At 46.5% G+C, this 15791-nt stretch overlaps 1 protein-coding gene across 42 annotated transcripts in view, besides 1 other annotated feature; it reads left to right on the top strand.

The window, feature by feature from the left end:
• Positions 1 to 15791, top strand: part of DENND1A (DENN domain containing 1A) — a 550469-nt gene that overhangs the window by 363177 nt on the left and 171501 nt on the right. For 41 of the 42 annotated variants that reach the window (XR_007061334.1, XR_007061335.1, NM_001352965.2 and 38 more), the window contains one exon: positions 9255 to 9380. Coding sequence is in view for 39 of the 42 variants with exons in the window: in NM_001352965.2 (NP_001339894.1) it covers positions 9255 to 9380 (126 nt within the window). In the remaining 3 variants the exon portion in view is untranslated. Of the gene's footprint in view, positions 1 to 9254; positions 9385 to 15791 lie in introns of all 42 variants that reach the window. The other variant, NR_148208.2, reaches the window with a different exon arrangement.
• Positions 5441 to 6002: an enhancer, noted in NCBI's record as "OCT4-NANOG hESC enhancer chr9:126323227-126323788 (GRCh37/hg19 assembly coordinates)". NCBI's record gives its function as "activates a minimal SCP1, AML or CMV promoter by ChIP-STARR-seq in primed H9 embryonic stem cells {active_cell/tissue: H9 hESC(primed)}" and the evidence as "EXISTENCE:reporter gene assay evidence [ECO:0000049][PMID:30033119]".

The raw sequence follows: 15791 nt of genomic DNA, 5'->3' as shown, positions 1-15791 counted from the left end.
TGTGTGTTTGTGTGTGTGTGTGTGTGTGTGTGTGTGGTGTGTTAAAGCTAAATTGTTGTATAAGGAAAACAAAGATAATTTCACTTACTCTGGGCCAACAAAAAAAAGTATTTGGAGGAAGGTAAGGTTTACAAATAGAAAAACACAAAAGTCTTCACTACTGTGTGTTTCAGTTTCAAATGGTGAGATACTCAGATTAATCTCATGGGGAGAGGGCTGGAGTGTATATGTGTGGGCAAGACTCCTCCTGAGCTTTATTTGGCAGATAGTGGAAACAGGCCTTTTTTGGTTTTGTTTTAAAATTGCACTTTTTTACTCCAAGGATGTCATTCTAAGGATTTGATAGCTTATTCCTGGGATGCTCAGCAGAGCCACTATAGCACATAACGAAGTAGCCATTCACATAATGATAATTGATGCTTTTGTCTGACAAAAAGCTGCCTGGAATTCTAACTCTTGCCACTAACTTTCTGACATATACACAGCCCACAAGTTGTCAGGGGAGAGGGAGGGAGCAGAGACCCGGGCTCGTAGGGTCATAGCCAGCTCCAGCATGGAACTCCACATAAATAGCACAGCCCTCACTCCCCCATGGAGAACCAGGATCTTTGAGGGGAGAATGGGATGCAGAAGAAGCAATTAAAGCCAACTGAGGTCAAGGTACAACCATGTTCTCAAGAAAGAAGCAGGAAAGCAAGGAATGAGAGGAAACAATAATGGAGATATATTAAATCAGGGAAAAAATAAACCAGTATCATGGACATATCTAATTTGGTGGTCTAAGAAACCCTGGCAGCAGTGAGAATCAATGGACTAGCACAGACTCTGGAGTAAGACAGACTTGGACTTGACTTTGGCTTCCACCCTTGCCTTACTGTCAGTGTGATGTGGAACTGGGTCTTACTTTCCTCATCTGTGTAGTGGGGATAGCTGTGCCTACCTAGGCCATTTGTTCTGAAATTTTAATACAATACTGGATATGAAAATACTTGTCATTGTCATTTGGGAACTAGTAGGGTGCTTGATAAATACTGGTTTCTGTTCCTTTCTCCTGATAAATTTCTTGTTCTTACAGAAACTATTCCTGGGAAAGAGACTAGGGTGTTATTGCTTTGACATATTAAGACTTTTTGTTTTGAATTTGAGGCAAGAACTAAGGAAGGCATAGGTAGATATGCTTATGTAATGGAAGTGACAGTTTGCCATTTCTCATTGCCAGTGTGAAAGTGGCAGAGGGAGCCAATGTTTTTGTGCCCCTGAGGATGGGAAAACAAGTCACTAATCCTTTCTCCCCTCTCCAGACGCACACATTCCCTATGGGACTTTAGAAAAAAGCCTTGATGCCTACTTTATCCAGGTAAGGAAGAATTAATCAACTTGCCTTAGTCCTTAAAGGGGGGAGGAAAATGTGACTCTGTTGCCCCTCCACACCTGCTGCTGTGTGTCTAATTTGTAATAATAATAATAAAAAATCTTTCAACTCCAACTGTGACACCCAGCAGTTAATGCAACTCCCAGGAAAGAGAAGCAGTACCTGCACAGACTAACTTGAGCCGGGCTTTTAGAACTGTACCTCTCAATGAGGTGCGCCAGCACTGAGGGTGGACATGGTTCCTCCCTTCCTAGACTGGTCAGTCTAATAGAAGAGACAGACATTAGGCCGGGTGCGGTGGCTCACGCCTGTAATCCCAGCACTTTGGGAGGCCAATGGGGGTGGATCACTTCAGGTCAGGAGTTTGAGACCAGCCTGGCCAACATGGTGAAACTCCATCTCCACTAAAAATACAAAAATTAGCTGGGCGTGGTGGCACATGCCTGTAATCCCAGCTACTCAGGAGGCTGAGGCAGGAGAATTGCTTGAACCCAGGAAGCGGAGGTTGCAGTGAGCCAAGATGGTGCCACTGCACTCCAGCCTGGGCAACAGAGTAAGTGAGACTCCATCTGAAAAAAAAAAAAAAAAAAAAAAAAAGAAGGGACAGACATTAATTGGATTCTTGCAGAATGCATCATTATACATTGTTGTGTGTCCCTAAATGAAAGACACAGTGAGAATGTATAATAGGGGAACCTTCGTCTAGCCTCAGCAGTTCAACAGAGGAAGTGATATTTGAACTGAGACCTGAAGGATGAGTAGTAGTCAACCTAGGGCCCTGTGTTGTCCAATATGGTAGCCACTATTCACATATGGCTATTTAAATTTAAATGGATTGAAATGAAATAGAATAAAAGTTTCAGCTTCTCAGTCACACCAGCCACATTTCAAGTGCTCAGTAGTAGCTAGCATATTGGATGGCATTGGATAGAAGACAGATTATTTCCATCACTGCAGAAAGTTCTGTTGGACAATGCAGAATTCTAGGCAGGGGGGCAATGGTGGGTGAGAGCACTCCACACCGGAAATAACCTATGCAAAGGTCCTGGGGTAAGGGGGAGGCCAGTGGGACTGGAGCCCAGTGTGGGTGGCTAAAGCCACAAAGGAGGATGCAAGAGCCTCTCATCTCAGAGACTGGCCAAATCAAACGGGGCCTTCCAGGCCAGGCTAGGGCTTTAGTCTTTTTCTCCAGAGCAGTGGAGAAGAGCTGAGAAATCTTAAGGTGCCAGCATTGATGGAAAGAGATAGATAGGATTGTCTTAGAGGTGAACACTCAATAGTCTGCCATCCACTCCCAGGCCCCAGAAGTTGCAACCAAGTGATAAAGGAAAAACACTCTACTTGTTGAGCACTAATGTGTATTAAAAGGGTATTTTCATTCTCCTGGGGAGAAAGACATGTAAACTGCTGGTATATAAAGGGCTAAAGAATAGGATGATGGTTTATACAACATGAGAACCCCTTCTGAAGTAGCAGTAAGCTAACTTGTAGCCGATTTGTAGGGGCTAAACTGGAAGTCCTTGGGAGACAGGCCCTCCCTCCTCTGCAGTTCCGTTTCCAGCACATCTCCAGCATGGGACCTGCAAAGATTAGGAATCAACAAAGGAATAGGCCATCATGCCCTGAGAAAGAGCTATTTGTTCTGACAGAAAGTTGGAGGCTTGTATTTTTTAATAAAAAGTTTGTTAGAGAATACGATAAAGAATATCCCAGGTTTGCGAATGGGTTTTGAGGCCTTTGAAATCAAGTAGAAGACAAAGGTGCAAATGGAGCTTGAGCCAAGCCCATAACAGGCCTTAAATATTGTGCTAAGGAATTTAGACTTTATTATATTCACAGTAGGGAGCCACTAAAAATTTTAGAGGGAATGACATGATATAACCTCTTGTTTTAGGAAGGTAATTCAATGCGAAGGATGAATTAGACTAGGAAGAGAATAGAGGAAGAGATACGAGCTCAAAGACTGTTGTAATAGTACTGGTAAAAGATGAATCTAAACTAAAAAAAGCCAGGCACTCTACTACATCCATTCTTCATTTTATATCCATTATATTTTACTCCTCACAATGTATACATGTTGTACATACTTCATTTTACAGCCAAAGAACTAAAGCTCAGAAAGGTTAAGAAAGTAGGGAAGCCAGGTCCAGCGAAGCCAATCTTAGACCTAGGCTTCTGTGATTCAAACTCTATGTTTTACTGCCTGAGGAGTGCAGTGGGGACAGAGGAGTAGATGAAGCCAGGGGACCTGAGAGGTTGAGAACAGTGACCAGTGAAAGGAGGAACAGGGGTACACGGTCGGGTGAAGGCAGGGCCGGGGCAATACTGTGTGTGTTACTGGATGTGGTAAGTTTGTGGTTGTATAAGACCAGTCTCCTTGTTCCCTCTGACTCATTCAGCATGCAGATAGATGTTCATTTCTCCTGCCATTGTGGTTGTGTCTTAGCAATGGCATTCTACAGAAGAGGAATGAATATCACTTTCTCTTCCCATCCTTTCCAACAGAGACCAGTTTCTTCTAATGATCCGTCACTAAAGAATGTGATCCTAGACTTTCCTCCAAGCAGAGAGGCTCAGCCACTGAAAATGCCTTTCACAATGTCAAGCACTTGCTCATTCGTTCTTTCATTTGGCAGAAAGTACTGCATGAGTACACTGAGTCAAGAACTGTGCTGGCTGCTGGCCCTGCGGGGAACTCAGTCCATCAGGAAAGGAGGTAGAAACTGCAGCTCACCATGGAACCACCTGCTCAGTCCAAGGAGGCCCAGACTTAGTGGTCAGGGCAGGCTTCACAGATGGGGGGACATCTGGATTCCCTCTTTCCCTTAACCCAAGGCAATGGGTAATTTGACTATTAAAGAAAAATACCTCATTTTAATTCTTTATTATAAAAGTAACATATGCTTTTTTATAAAGGATAATCAAAACAATCAAGTGTGTAAAATAGAAAGTGAAAGCATCCTTGCATGGTTAAAGTTTGGTAATGTAGCATTTTAGATTTTTACTGCATATATATTTATATATAATTTTTAAATGGTTCATGCTGTACATGTTACTCTGCAACCTGCATGTTTTTCCTCACTCGACAGTATTTGACAGACATCTTTTTGTGTCAGTTCATAGAGTACCGCCATGTCCTTTTTGGCAGCTATGTGATATTTCCTGGTGAGGATGCGGGATAATGTATTTCAGAGGCCCCCATTGATGGAGACTTGGATGGTCTTTCAGAGGCTGAATAGATGTTCACAAGCAGGACAGGAAGGGACAAGAGACAGCCAGGACTGAGCTAGTGACATGGAAATGGGCTGAAGAGTAGCCTGTGCTTCTGGACATCCAAGTTTAACATTAAGTGGGGCAGGTGGAAGTGAGGCTGATGGAGGACAGCCTGCACAGTCTGCTCGTGGAAGTTTGGATGTTTTTCTGAAGGTGATGATGGTGAAGGGCGGGGGCACCGAAGGGTTTTGATGGAGGATCAAAGTGATTGGATTTGGATTTTTCCAAGATTACTAGGACAGATATGGGTGAATGGCATTGAGGAGAAACTGAAGGCAGAAGAAGGCCCACTGAGGAAACCGCTCCACTAGTCTGGGCCAGAGAGGGTGATGGAGCTGAATTTGCAGGGCCAATGTCATGGGCACTGAGAGGAGAGGATGGATTCAGGGCATATCTGGGTTGGTGTTGAGGAGATGTGGAGAATGTTTGTGGGAAGGAGGGAGAAGTAGGGAATCTGACATCTGACGCCTGGCCCAGGAGACTGGCCGGATGATGCTGCGGTAACCAAGATGGCACACAGAGGGGAAAGGGCGTCTTAGACAGAAGCTGGCAAGTTCAGTTTTGCCCCCTCTTTCCTTTGCCTTGTCTTCCTCCTATAACACCCGATTAAAGGAGGAAGCCATCCTCACCAGCACTTACAACACACCCAAATTACCCCTGATGAATCCCGATGTTAATGATTTGACCAGCACCCCTCGGGGTACTGAGGGCAAGTTCAGCTTTAGATATATGACTCTGTGTTGTTTAAACCTGAAATTGTCTTCCCTTACTTTTATTTAAAGGACAAATGCTACTCCCCAGCGATCAGATGCACAGATACTTGCAGTTTCAAAGTTTGAGGTGCTGGCAGGTCAAGACAAAAGCTTCTCCATGTTTCAGGGTGACAAGAGGTCTTCAGAAGTCCTGGCCTAAGTGGTCACAGGGGCATCAGGAGCCCAGGACCACTTGGCTAGTTTCAGACCAGCTGGGGCAGGCAGGAAGGGACACACTCGTATTTGCTCAGTTACAATCAACGACTCCTTCTTTGTGTAAAATGGTAATGAGGCCATTAGGAGAGGCTCACCTGAAGTGCAGCGTTGTGAATCCAAGGTAATTAAACACCTCCCGAATGAAAGAGAAAGGCCAGGGAAGGTTAAGTGAGGAATAATCTGCGGCACAGGTGGCCCAAGGCCCTTGAGGAGCCAGAAGGAGAGCGACAGTGGCTTGCACCATTTCAAAGGATGGAAATGTCACTGTAGTCCCTGGGAGGGGAAGGATTTTTATTTTTATTTTGGGGGCAGGGGCAGGGAGTGGGTAGTATTTTTAGCATGTTAATAGAGCATGCTGCTTTTTCATACTTCTCTTTGTAGGTGGAAGTCCATGGCAGAGTCAGCCTGGGTGCTGAGTGGCCTGCATTGCTCCTCAGGGGCTCTCATCACTGTGGGGCTGGGGCTTATGTGTCCTTGATAAGGGGAGGTCATAATAAATCAGTTATAGATACCCGGATGTTGAGGTAGACTTCAAACTGCTTCCAAAGGAATTGTTTTCCATGGTCCCCTCTTGGAGTAGAGGTGGGATAACTACCCCCTCAGTGTATGTTCCCAGGGCTTTTTACTTTTCCTTTTTTTTTTTTTTTGAGACAGGGTCTCACTCTGTCACCCAGGCTGGAGTGCCACGGTGCAATCATAGCTCATTGCAACCTCAAACTCCTGGGCTCAAGCAGTCCTCCCACCTCAGCCTTCTAAGTAGCTGAGACTACAGGCAGGTGCCACCATGGCTGGCTAAATCTTTTTATATTTTTTATAGAGATGGGATCTCACTGTGTTGCCCAGGCTGGTTTTGAACTCCTGGCCTCAAACGATCCTCCTGCCTTGGCTTCCCAAAGCGCTGGGCACGTCCCCATGGCTTCTAACTTATCAGAGGAGGGTATCAGTCCCATCTTCACTCAGTTTAGTGTCCAAACATGAGGCACGCCCTTTATCAACAGCAAAGGATTGTTTTCCTGTACACAGTTCACATTTATGAATGGCTTCCTAGGCACTGAGCACTGTGCTTGGTGACTTCATGTATCCTTCCAGCTTGTCTTCATTGCATAAGGTCTGGCAGAGGATTTTTGCTTTTCAGATTGTCACCTCAAAATTTCCATTGTCTCCACACAAAAGCTTGCACATGAATCTTCGTAGCAGCATTATTCATAACAGCCAAGAAGTAGAAACAGCCCAAATGTCCATCTGCAGATGAACAGATCGATAAAATGTGGTCTATCCATACAGTGGAATATTATTTAGCCATAAAAAGTATGAAGTCTTGACACAATGCTACAACATGGACGAACCTTGTTCATAAAAGCACTGTGCTAAGGGAAATAATCTGATGGCAAAAGACTACCTATTGTTAATTCCATTTATATGAAATGTCCAGAGTAGGCCAACCTGTAGAGACAGAAGGAAGGTGAGTGGTTGCTTGGGTCTGGTGTGGGGGAAAAATTGATAGGTAATGGGGAGTGACAGCTAATGAGTATGAGGTTTCTTTCGGGGGTAATAAAAATGTTCTGGAGTTAGTAGTGATGGTTGTACAGTCTTGTGACTACACTAAAAACCACCGAACTGTGTACTTTAAATGAATGAATTTTATATGTGAAATATGTCTCAATAAGCTATTAAAAGTTTTTCTTATCAGAAGCTTGGGTACAAGACCTAATGTGCGTGGATCATTTCTAAAGTATGATCTAGTCCTTCCCAGGTCGGATTTTTTTTTCCCCAGACTTCTCAGCAAGTGATTCTTAATATTTCTAGGGTCACAGGCACCTTTAGGAATCTGAGGAAAGCTGTGGATCCTGCGCCCAGAAAAATAATCTTCACTCATTCATACTAAAAATCTGTAAAGGATTCATGGACCACCTAAATCTAATTTTCTATTTTATCCTAAGTTTTGTCTTTAAATGATGTCATACCAGTAGCTGGTCTCTTACAGAATTAGTTTCTGTGAAACGTGCTCTTGATATGTTACCTGCATGCTTAAAACCAATCATTAGTTTTCTGTTTCTCTCTCAAGATGAAGGAAAAAAATCCCTTCAGGCCCCTGCCTTTCTCTCCAGCCTCATTTCAAGCCATATTCCCCTCATTTTCGCCACCGAAGCCAGGGTTCTTTCTGTTCCCTGAACTCTTCTTCGCTGCAGGGCCTTTGCACACCACTCCCCGTACTTAGCACGCGGTGCTCACCCCTCTTTGCTGAGTTAACCACCCTCACCCATCCTTCAGATCTTAGTGCAAGCTTGTTGCCCTCCAGGAAGCCTTCCTTGACCTTCTTGACAAGCTCTGTTACAGGCTCGTCACAGTAGCAATGGCACATGCATTCCTGTTTTTCTCACTAGAATGTCAGCTGAATGAGGGCAAGACCCACGTGTGGTTTCATTGTATCCCTTGCATTCTCAACACCTAACATAGTCCTCGGTACATAGGAAATAATAAATATTTGCTGAGTGAATGGATAACTCGAGGTCACCACGTCGCACAATTCCTCTTATGGGGAACGCAGCGTGAAAGGTGTGCTCTGAAGCGTGGCATCTTGAGATGAATGAAGGGCATGTTAGAAATAGTCCGGGAAGCTTGATGTTGAGGGCAACAGCCACCATGTCACACAGTCTTTCCTACATTGTTTTTTATGTCTCACTTTTCAGGAAAATCTTTATTCCATTTGGCCAACGGGTTTGTTTGTAGTACGTGGACCTGTGGAGTCTCACAACCTTCATCTTTCCCTCCTTGCTTTGGCTACTAGGAGGCTTTTAAGTCAAATTTAAGCTCATTTCTAGCCACCATGTAAGACCTGGTGGCTTACATTTATATACCAAATGTATTACGTGCTTCTTTGCCCATTACCATCACTTCCGAGTTTTTTGTTTTAACCTCTTGAGTACATGTCTATTAGTATAAGCTGCCACACTTCCTTTAGAGTATGATGTGTGAGAAATATAAATAAGCCTTTATTCTAACATTTGTAAGTAGCTTTAAGAGGGGATAGAATGGGAACTGAAAGTCTGAGTTTGGGCCCAGACTACAAGACTTTGATTGGAATGTGGCCCATGTCTTGAGTTTGTTGCTAGGTATGTAGCCTAACCTCCCTGAGGCTGTTTTACCCTTGTAAGATGGGAACATTAATCCCTTCCTCACCGGATTGTTAAAATAACTAAATTGTAAAATGTATGCAAAAGTGCTTACCTGGCATGGAGTAAGTCATTAAAAATTGTTTTTGTTTTTATTAGACATGTTCTAATAGGAACAACATTCATTTAAATTTCAAAAACATGCCCTAATTCTGAACACTTTTTTTTTTTTGAGACTGAGTTTCTCTCTGTCGCCCAGGCTGGAGTGCAATGGCGCAATCTCGGCTCACTGTAGCCTCTGCCTCCCGGGTTCCAGTGATTCTCGTGCCTCAGCTTCCCAAGTAGCTGGGACTACAGGTGTGTGCCACTGCACCCAGCCTGAACACGTTTTTGTCCTCCCAGTAACTGAGGTATCAAATGGATCCTGCCATCCGTAGGATCTTCCAGGGCTCCATATGTAGTGGGCTTAGTCAGCCACCCTACTTTGACCCTGTCCTCAACCTGTGTTTTCCTTCTCTCCATCACCAGATCTCTTCCCTGAAGAACAGGCTGAAAAAGGTCTCCACAACCACTGGGGATGGTGTGGCCAGAGCGTTCCTCAAGGCCCAGGCTGCTTTCTTCGGTAGCTACCGAAACGCTCTGAAAATCGAGCCGGTGAGTAGCCTTGGCATGTCACAGAGCCTGTGTTTGGTCAGGGCTGAGAAGCATACCTCAGGGGCCACAAGAAATGCCATGATTCTTCTGGTTTCCAGATTCATCTAGAAGAGCTTGTGTGTGTTTGTGGTGGGGGACAGTGTACTCCCCTTGCCATACCTCTCAACACAAGGAGGCTGTGCTATCATGTGTGAGACCCTCACTGCTCTGGGGGCTGTTATGCCCTGTGCACCACCCTAGACAGTAAGCCCCAACCGCGTGTCAGATGCAGCGCCAGGCCCCTCACACTCACCTGCTCTCCCTGGGGCTTCACAGTGCACCTGTGCAGTAGCGGTGATCAGCTCCACTTTACAAATGAGGAAACCAAGACTCAGGGAAGAGAAACAACTTAGCCCGGAAAAGCCAGATGGCCCCGGAGCCCCTGCTTTCCCACTGGGCCTCGCCACCCCTGTTCTTTCACGGGACCGCTCCTCCACGCTTGAGAAAGCAGAGCCTCCTGGGTCTCACGCCTCATGGCTCCTGAGAGTGGTTTTGGTGTAAGTGACCACAATGAAGACCGGGAAGTGACCTTGCCCACCTCTGGCCCTTCCCCCTTTCTGGGCCTCGTTGACTTATCTATGTCCCCTGCCTGCCTCAGGAAGTGACTCGTGATTGCAAGGATGTGAAGACAGCAGGTCTTCTCTGAAACCAAGGGCAGTAGCAGTCCTCTTAGCTTCAGAGAGAAGTTCTTCTTTGCTGTTTCTCTCCTCGGCCTACTCTTGGCTTTCTGGTTGAGGAGAATGCAGGAACTGGCCTAGGGACCTGGGTCACCCTGCAGAGGGGAGAATGTTGGAGGGAAACCTTGCCGACAGGCCTGTTCTCCCAGGAGCACAGGGCTGCCTTCGTCTTGAACGGGTGAGTGACGCTGTCACACCCAGCCTAGTCGGAGTCAGAATCAGAGTTGGGTGTAAGGGACCAGCACTGGCTTCACTGCCTATAGGCCGGGGCTGTTTGTTTCTATTTTTACTTTAACCTATAGCATTTAATTAGATCAAATCACAAAAGATGAGGGGATGTGAGACAATGCATTCTTTATAGAAATTCTGATTGTGAGCAGGGGTCACGCTTCCTTGTAAGCCGCAATTATACATTGGTAAGTATCTTTACTGCTCTGACTCCGTCGTGTATTCAAGTAAAACACAAAGAGTAACAGCAAACACCTTGTTTCCCCATCACCCAGGACCTGCTCTCTGTGAAGTGGCCGGGGCAGTGGGTGCTCAGGGAGCAGCGTCCTAACCCCACCCTCCTACTCCTTTTTATCCATCTAGCACTTAGGCCTTACTCTCTAGGCTGCCTGAGCTTTGGGCAGTGCCATCGTCACTGTGTGCTCACATAGCAGAAGGGATACACTCTCTTTTTGCTTCCTGAGACATATTTCCCTTAGGTTTCTCGAAAGCCCTTCAGCTTAAAGCCAGTTCTTGATAGTGTCCTGCTAGTCTCAAAGTGACATGGCTCTGATTACTTGTCACGATCTTGGGTCCAGCCAAACCAATCAGGTTCAAAGCAGTGACAGCTGGCACAATTCAAGGAAAATACAGTTGTCTTCCCCCCTTTAAAATGGGAATGAATAGGACAACTGGCCCAATCCTTTGCTTGGGTTGCTGGGAATGGACAGACTTGAAGTATTTTCACTCTTGCAGTGATCTCATTGTTGGCCTGTGTGCATCTGGAATCCAAAGGCAGCTGAAGTTCGGGACATATTGCTGCTGCAGGATCTGGGCACAGGCTCCTCCACGGGAGGAGTTTATCGTTGTACTTGCACAAGGTGCTGGAAGGCACTGGATTTAAGGACAGAAGCCCTGGAGTTTCAAGCCTGGCTCTGCACTTCTTAGCTGTCTAAAAGTTGAGCAAGCCATTTAATCCATTTAAACTTCAGTTTCTTCATCTGTGAAATGAGGATAAGCCTGCCTGTCCTTCCTGAGGATCAATTGAGCCATAACACATTTCATCAGGAAGGTGAAACTTGAACTGGGTCTGATGAGTAAGGTTTGGGAAAAGAAAGAAGGGAGCATCCCTTCCTAGAGTGAGGGTGGAGGTAACTGAGGAAGCAAAGGCTTGGAGACAGGGCCCCTCATAGCCAGTGAGTGCGCCATTTTCTTTGGAGCAATTGGGTGGGGAGATGGGGCTGCAGGAGAGGATAGAGCCAAATTTGGCGGAGCCTTGGATGCTACGCTAAGAGAGTGAACTTTACCCTGTGAGGAGTGTAAGTTTTTGAGCAGAAATGTGACATGACTGAAGTTGCCTTTGAGCAGTAGTACAGTGATGGACTAAAAGGAGAGCTGGAGGCAGAGAAACCAGTTAGAGGAGTGTTATGGGAACTCAGAAGAGAGCCCCGGGTGGCTCCACCAGGAACAGGGACCATGAAGGAGGAAGTAGCAAGACTCCGCAATAGATCAAATATGGGAGATGAACAGCAAGAAGTGTCAAAATGTCTCCCAAGATTTGGAGCCTAGGAGAGGATGAAGACACCCCTAGTTGCAAAAGGAAATGCTTAATGCCAAGGTGTTCACAGTAGCAGCATTTCTAATGGTAAAACACTGGAGTATACTGAGTATCCATGTTAGGTAACTGGTGAAATAAATTAAAGTCTGTCTTATGATAGTTTTAATGGCTATGTAATATTCTATCAGCTTAGAGATAACATGATGGATTTAGATGGAGACATGGCACTTGTCCTTGAATGTAAGATGCTGTTCAGTCATAAGATGTACTATTAGTTTATGTACCATTAAGAAAGGGAAAAGAGTGGTGCCAATTATAATCGAAGGATGCCACCAATTATAAGACACATCCAGATTTCAGAAATGTTACAATGGGAAGTAATTTTCATCTTAGAATCAATGAAATATGGCAGACCTGTCAGCCTTTCAATCCTGTTCATCTGAACCACAATGGCTTTCTTCCATAAGGTGGAGAAGGAAACCAGAAGGCCTGGAATTTTCCAACCAAGCTTCAAGTCGTGGTCATCACCATGTCACCTAGATGGTTTTTAAACTATAGATTTAATTTTGGCAAATTCCCCTCTTCTAAAATATGATGTAACAACATTCCCCATGTAAGATTGCTTGGGGCAGCCAGGCATGGTGGCACATTTAAGACCAGCCTGGGCAACATAGAGAGACCCCATCTCTACAAAAAATAAATTAGCTGGATGTAGTATCACATGCCTGTGGTCCCAGCTACTTGGGAGGCTGACAGGAGGACCACTTCAGCCCAGGAGTTTGAGGCTGCAGTAGGCCAAGATGGTGCCACTGCATTCCAGCCTGGGCAACAGGGTGAGACCCTGTCTTTTAAAAATGTTGAGCGGATTAGTTTAAAATAATGACTGCAAAGTACATATGAGCCCAAGAAATAGGGAGGAGGCGTTGGCTGCATCGGGGGGAGGATGGTGCCTTGAGTGAGCCTGCCAGGGTGTGCTGAGGCCCTCCCCAAGGCCACTTGTCTTTTTGTTGTTTCTCTGGTTATAAAAATAGCACCTGCTCTTCATTGGCTCACGCCTATAATCCCAGCACTTTGGGAAGCCGAGAGAGGTGGATCACAAGGTCAAGAGATTGAGACCATCCTGGCCAACGTGGTGACATCCTGTCTCTACTAAAAATACAAAAATTAGTTGGGCGTGGTGGCACGCACCTGTAGTCCCAGCTACTCAGGAGGCTGAGGCAGGAGAATCACTTGAACCCAGGAGGCAGAGGTTGCAGTGAGCCAAGATTGTGCCACTGTACTCCAGCCTGGTGACAGAGCAAGACTAACTCTTAAAAAAAAAGGTTTGAAGTAACAGGACTAGAAATGAGAAAGCACCACCCATAATCCTATCGTCGCAAGGTGAGATACAGTGGTGGCAGGTTTCCATCCAGCTTCTAGGATTTTTCGTTTCTTTTGTTTTTACATTTTTGGGTTTTGGTTTTTTAACTTCCTTCTAGGCAGATGAGATATGCCTGAGAAAGCAATCCAGTATCCTAGTTATTAATATTTTTTTTGCCTTTTAGTTTGTGTAAGCATTTTCCACACCACATAAAAACTCTTCTTAGACATCATTGACAGTGGCTGAGCAGAGCCTATCAGGTGACCCTTGTGGTTCCCAACCCTGGCCGCGGATCAGAATCACGGAGGGATGAGGAGCGGGGGGGGGGCGGCTTTTAAAAAGGCAAATGTCCAGGCCCCCCTCAGAGATTTCTGTCAAGTTCCTGTGATCTGAAATCAGAGCCAAGGCCCACCATCTTTTCCTAGTGCTGGTCTTTAAAAAAAAATTATTTTACTATTGTATTATTATTATTATTTTGAGACGGGGTCTCGCTCTATTGCCTAGGCTGGAGTGGCATGATCATGGCTCATGGCAGCCTCAACCTCCTAGGCTGAAGTGATCCTCCCACATCAGCCTCCCAGCTAGCTGGGACTACAGGTGCATGCCACTGAACTCAGCTAATTTATTTTTAATTTTTGTAGAGATAAGGTCTTGCTATGTTGCCCAGCTGGTTTCAACTCCTGGGCTCGAGTGATCCTTCAGCCCCAGACTCCCAAATCTCGTGCTGAGATTACAGGCATGAGCCACCGTGCCCGGCATGCTGGTCTTTTTGATTGTCAGTAATGTTTCATGATACCACACTGTGCTAAACATCTTTATATAAATCTTTATGCATGGTTTGAATTATTTTCTTAGGCGGATTCCTTGACATGGATTTACTGGGTAAACGGATGTGAGTCCATTTAAGGCCTTTGGCACATAAGGTGTGAGAGAAAGCTGGTGAGCAGACACAGGGGGATGTCTGCAGGGAATGGCCCCTGAGGCGGGTGCCAGGGCAGGGCCTGAGAACAGTAGGTCACTGGGGGCAGAATGAGCCTGCAGGGTAGAAGGCCAGGTATGTGAACGCCACGCAGGGCAGCCCAGCTGCAGTGCTACCAGCCCTCTGGCTCACCTGTGCTCCCTGCTTCACAGTGCCTCCACAACAGTGCCCACCATGCAGGGTCCTGGGGTACTGCCCATACAGGTGGGGGAGGTGGAGGTGGGGTCATGGCTGTCAGGTTACTGCAGTCACAGTGCTGTGTTTTGTTGGAAACAGAAACATGAGGGACCTAAGCGGGCTCCTGTCTGCTCTGCTTCTGCCTCCCTGGACCCTGAGCAGTTATTCACCTCTCCAATCCTCAGTTCCCCTTCCATAAGGTGGATGTGTAATCCCCTCCTTGCAGGAGTGTAGTGAGGCTTAAATAAGCCCAGCACGGTGCCTGTCCTGACGGCCCTGGGAAGATGGGCAGAACCCTGCCCTCGCCCACCTCCTCCCTCTGAGGAGGACCCTGCCAGTCTGGAGCCCGTTGGGGGACAGCTCCAGTCCGTGGCCTGCCTGGCTCTGTAAGGAGGGGTCGAGCTCTGGCCTGAGAAGCAGAGGTGGGCATCTCCTCCTCTGCAGTCACGTCTGAAGAACTTTTCCCTGGCTCAGAGCTCCCTTGAGATTTTTACCACCTTGGCCTCTCTCTCTCTCTCTCTCTCTCTCTCTCTGTCTCTCTCTCTCTCTCTCTCGCTCTCGCTCTCTCTCGCTCTCTCTCGCTCTCTCTCTCTTTCCTAATGAAAAAATTCAGAATGCAGCTGGCTGGGGGACTCCTGAGCTTTGTTTTCTTTACCAGATCCAGAAGGAAGAAGGAAGGGGACCGCTTGCTGAGGCCCAGCCCTGTGCCAGGAGCTAGGCTTCTCCTCCCCATCTGTGCTTTCTGCGGGTTTGTTGGGGAGGCTGGGTGCCCGGCTCAGGGCGGGGAGGGCCAGTGTTGGCTCCCTGGTGATGTGTGTCTTCAGGGCCGGGTGAATTATTCCAAAGGACTCTCTCAGGGTCAGAAACTGAGATGCCAGGGGTGTCCAGTCACTGCCAAGTTCACCTCAGTGGCCTCCCACAGGGTCAGCACTCAGTTCAACTCCGAGTTGCTTCCCATCCGTGCTCTCAGTAATTCTCCATCCCAGCCCCTCACTAGCCCTTTACACACAGGGGATGGAGCGAAGGCTGCAGTGATTCCTAGGAAGCAGCAGAGCCAGCAGACAGCCTCCAAACCCAGGTTCCCTCCAACACATCCTCCCGCCTGTCTTTGTTCTAGTTTCCACATGTTCCGTGTTAGTAACTCTCTGCATTTCCAATACCAGGCACAGGTCGTGGCACCGTGTGTAGGTATCAGTGAATATATTTTGGAATAATAGACGGGAGAATGGGTGAAGGAAATTAGGGAATAGGGAAGCATTTGAGGCAGAGGGGCTCCACTTGGCCTCTGGTGCATACACATTGCATCCTGTCCTATCTATGGGCTTCAGAGGTTGCTGCTTCCTGATAGAGGGGAAGGTGTCTGCAAATCACAAGGGCATGTGGCCCATTTTTCGGTCACCTGGAGAAAATCAGA

The sequence above is a fragment of the Homo sapiens genome, chromosome 9, assembly GCF_000001405.40.
Source record: "Homo sapiens chromosome 9, GRCh38.p14 Primary Assembly".
NCBI lineage: Eukaryota > Metazoa > Chordata > Mammalia > Primates > Hominidae > Homo > Homo sapiens.
The sequence above is the reverse complement of the archived record's forward strand: the minus strand, read 5'-3'. Positions and strand labels throughout refer to the sequence as shown.